The sequence below is a fragment of the Homo sapiens genome, chromosome 21 (assembly GCF_000001405.40).
Source record: "Homo sapiens chromosome 21, GRCh38.p14 Primary Assembly".
In the NCBI taxonomy this organism is placed as follows: Eukaryota; Metazoa; Chordata; class Mammalia; order Primates; family Hominidae; genus Homo; species Homo sapiens.
Window position 1 is genome coordinate 19,305,009 of NC_000021.9, and position 4,777 is coordinate 19,309,785.

Consider the following 4,777-nt stretch of genomic DNA (forward strand, 5'->3'; position numbering starts at 1 on the left):
AAGGAAGGAAGGAAGAAGAAAGAGAGAGAGAGAAAGAAAGAAAAAATTTCTATAACCAAAAAATGACAACAATTTAAATCATGACATAAATGGAGCTTGAATTTACACTGAAAATTGAGATTTGCTGGAAGGAGCTAAAAATTATACCACAAAAAATAATCCAAAATAATCACTAAAAGGAAGTAAAATAATTTTAAAATGATAAGCACATTGCTGATATCAAAAGCCAAAAAAAAATTATCCAGCAGACAGAAATATAAAGAAAACCCACAGGAGATAGATAAAACTAAACCTGTTTACTCCCCGGAGATAACTGTCCTAGATTCACTAAGCACCTTGGTATCTGTGATTTTGAATCCGCAGGGGACAGAATATGATTGCACAGACATCTGCATACAAAAGCGAGAACTGGATTCCACATAATGCTAGGACCGGGAAAGAGCAATTCTACTGAGAAAACTACTCTAAAGATATGGCACGGAAGTAGGCTATACACCTTGTCTACAGGCAAGTAGAGAATGCTACAAGAAATGAAAGGCCCTCAAAATGTGACATGTCTGGATGTAAGGCCATATTCTGGGAAGAAATATGTGTAGTTAAAATTGAGCTTTTGTTATTCAGAAGAAGGAGAGAATATTTATTGGTTCACTAATTATTAATGTCTTTTGGCATGTAGAAAATAAATCACAAAGACAGAATTTAAGTACCAAGGTACATTGGTTGGAAAAAAATAGCCTGGTCTAGTTGATTTACACTTATTTGTGGCAATAGCTAAGGTTTTGGATGGAAAATAGTATTTAACTTAGGGAGGCAACTGGGAATTTTATTATGAGGGGGTTCGGAGAAGAGATGTGTGGATAATTCTTTCTTTATAGCCCTAGAACATGAGAATAATTTTTCTTATATTAGTGCTCATCAAAAAATCTTTCTGTGGGTGAGACTCTTAATAGTAGAATGGTCAGGATGACTTGCCATATGGATCTAAATATTCTCCTTCCAGTTGTCCTCTGTGATTGGTCACTGAGTCTCTTAACACTTGGATGGAGGGCAGCTACATGAGTGTCTTACTTGTGGAGTCATGCTCATTGACACATCCCTAATTTTCCTTCAGCAGAAACCAACACAATGAGGATAAATTATATCTAGTGGTAATTTCATTGTAAATCAATTTTCCACTCTATAGATGAATGCAAGTTGTTCTCAATGGGCAAACATAATGTAGATTTCACATTTAAAAAATTGGCTTACAGGCTTCTTCCTCTAGAGCTATGCATGGTCTTTCTTAATACCATATATATTTCCACAGTATTCCATCAAGCATTTTTTCTAATCAAGATATATACCTTTACTGCAAAAATATTCTCTATCCCACAAAGGAAGGTGGTCTCACATGGAATAACCTACAGATATTTCAATTACAATATCAAAGAGGAGAGAAAGTATGCAACAGGGGTTGCTGCCTGCCAAAATGTTCTCTATGCACTGAATAACAAACATACGATACTTCTTGTTCTCTTATTACCATTGAGACGGCCAGGTGGGAAGGGCTCCCTGCAGAGTCTCTGACCCACCTGTGCACTGGGGGGAGCTGACATTGGAGTGGAGCCACAGAGGTTCACTTCATTTGCAGCAGGGAGGAGCCTGGCTCCTCCTCTTCCTAGGTGGGCCCTAGAATTCAAAGTGCAAGACAGGAAGCACACCCACAGGGACTCTGGCTATGTGGAGGGTCCATGTTACCCGGTTTTTCCCTTTTCACCCAATAAAACCCTGCCTTATTCATCCTTCAAATCAGCTGCAAGCCTAAATTTTCATGGCCATGTGACAAGGACCCCATCTTTAGCTGAACTAAGGGAAAGTCCCGCAACACCGTAATACATGCCCTAGGAAGAATTCCTCTCTTATGATTGTACTTAGGTACTTGTTTGCAGAAATCGTCTTCTCAAACTTACCTCAAGGCTCTAGGTTCTTTGTTTTAGAGCATTTGGTATATAATAGAGAAATGCTCCTGCCAAATGCTACAAAATCAGTTCCATTTAAAATCAGGCAGATACTTTACCATTTCAGTATCTCTACCTTACTAAAAAAAACAGGTAAAACAGTACAAAGTACTATCTTCAGTTACTGATTTTGACTATGCAAAAGTAATAAAAGTGCTGCTTTTAAACAGAATCAGGAAACATATGCCCAGAAAATTCTCTGACATGCCTCCTAATAGTAACATGTCCAAAAGTAAACATTAAAATAAGTCTACTTTATGATGGCCCACATCACCCCACCAGATAAAGAATTTTACCCAAAGATGGAAGGTGAAGATAACATAGACTAGGTAATATTGCAGAGAACAAATAGGAGATATAGGATTGTGAAGGGTTGCAAAAAGGAGGACTATAGACCTGATCTGTATTTTTCCTTCCTAGTCATTAGTATATTTGTGCATGTCATTAATTTTCTCATTAAACTCATCTACATGCCCTTCATGTAAATGCATCATGTCAATAGTTCTTAATTTGAAAAGCTTACGCATAGGCCTAATAATATGGAGAATCATATTTTGTAGTAAAATATTTTGACTAGTATTGGATGTGAGTCATAGATTCTTGACAGAGGGTCTGAGGCCTTATTGATAAGAGGTATACTCATTCCCCTTGGAGATTAAAGTGAGTTCACTTCCAGTAATTCTGGATATAAATGGTTTATGTTAGGTGGTATTTGTTTTGTTTTCATTAAAGACCTAATGGATGGATGGATGGTTGGACTACAGATAGATGAATGTTCGGCAGACAAAAAATCGAACTGTGATTGATACATTTTATTTTTCATTTTTGCCTTCCTAGTATCAAAACAATATTTTTATTTGTTGAGAAATCCCCCAATGGTTATAATTCAAGATGGGGTAATAATTTGCCTCACACTAATGAAACTGAAGCAACTGAGATTCAATGATATAAATACTTAAGCTCACTTTGTGTTTCAGAACTCAGAATGCCAGATTTTTTTTCTCTTCTACATCATAAAAGATGTCACAAACATCTACATATTCATCCTCGAGTAATACTGACTAGCTTAACTATATTATTGGAAATAAATTAAGAAATTTTCTTTCTTCTATTCCCTTGTATAGTTTAATGATCAAATATGGATGAAAGTGCTAAAGTTGTGTGTGCATAGATACATACAAAAACTTATACACACAAATATATATACAGACAGATTTGTATATATACTAAACCTCAATGTATATAAAATAACCAAATACTTTTTTTATGATTTATTATTTATTTATTTTTTTAAGACAGAGTCTTGCTCTGTTGGCTAGGCTGGAGTGCAGTGGCGTGATCTCAGCTCACGGCAACCTCCGCCTCCCAGGTTCAAGCAATTTTTGTGTTTCGGCCTCCTGAGTAGCTGAGATTACAGGCACCCGGCACCACTCCTGGGTAATTTTTGAATTTTTAGTAAAGACAGGGTTTACCATGTTGCCCAGGCTGTTCTCTAATTCCTGGCCTCAAGTGATCCACCTGCCTTGGCCTCCCAGTGTGCTGGGATTACAGGCATGAGCCCCCACACCTGGCCCAAATATAGTTATTTTTACAACAAAAGTCATGAAGGAAAATATTGTTCCCTCTAATAAATGAAGGAAACAACTAAGTAGTGATTGTACTTAAGTATCCAGCACTGCTACTATGTTGATAATTTGAGCTATCCGAAGTACTTACTAAGAGAGTTTGTCTCCTCAGATACACAGTATTTCAAGCAGAATGATCATTAGTCAGCAAAAGGCAAAAGATAATTAGTTCTACTCTTTGTAGTTTCCACACTAAGCAGTCTGCTTAGAGGCATAGGAGATGATTTGAAACAGCAGTTCATTACATACAGGTACCCATTGCTCTCAGAATTATTTGTTATGTCTTACACTGTTTTATTTCATTGCTTCTTTTCTGGCTACATTGTTTAATTTTTTTTTCTTAGACCATTTTTTTCCTATTCCTAAGCCTCAAATGTTCTAAATTATTTGGTTTATTTTACATAATTTTGTTTCTTTAAACAGTTTTAATATATCTCCAATTGCTTAATATTTAAATATAGTGTTATTATTTATTTATTTTGTATTTATAATTCCCTTATAAGGATTTCTAAGTTGACATTTATTTAGCTACTTTTTAAACTTTATCTCTCTTTATTATATTTTCTAAATACACTAATATGCTTTCATTTTCTTTTGCTTTTTGTAATAAGACTGTTATTAATGTACTTTGACCTAGTTATAACTGAATGTAGATTTAAGAACAAGGATTCCACATGTTGTAAATAGGTAAAGCTGGGTCTTTCCCCTCCCTTCTACATAATACTTCAATTGTTTTGCTAATTAATGACCTTCTATTTCCAAAGTGAATTTTTTTCTAAAAATCATCATTTTTCCCTCTTATGGCTTAGTCACTGATACATTTCTCTAGACTCCTTCTGTATCCATTTATATTTTTGCCAATATACTCTTTGGTATTAATATATTGCATTCCATATGCCTCCAGTTCCCAAACTGCACGTCAAGGCAGTCACAGGGACATCATAGAATGTCCTAAAGTTTCAAGGAAGCATAGCAATACTTGGCATGTCCAAATATCACGGACACTACTTACTCCAGGTAACTCAGTTTCAACATTATCTCATACTATATTTCTTTAGAGGATGTCACGTTTTTGTGAATTCATTTCTTGGCTGCAAGAACACATATCCCATTAGTAAGTAATTGTGATTTTTTTGGCAATGAAATACAAATATT

General features: G+C 35.4%; 2 annotated features.

The window, feature by feature from the left end:
- Window positions 231-431: a silencer, noted in NCBI's record as "peak4363 fragment used in MPRA reporter construct". NCBI's record gives its function as "represses an SCP1 promoter by STARR-seq MPRAs in K562 erythroleukemia cells {active_cell/tissue: K562}" and the evidence as "EXISTENCE:reporter gene assay evidence [ECO:0000049][PMID:32103011]".
- Window positions 3,691-3,891: a silencer, noted in NCBI's record as "peak4364 fragment used in MPRA reporter construct". NCBI's record gives its function as "represses an SCP1 promoter by STARR-seq MPRAs in K562 erythroleukemia cells {active_cell/tissue: K562}" and the evidence as "EXISTENCE:reporter gene assay evidence [ECO:0000049][PMID:32103011]".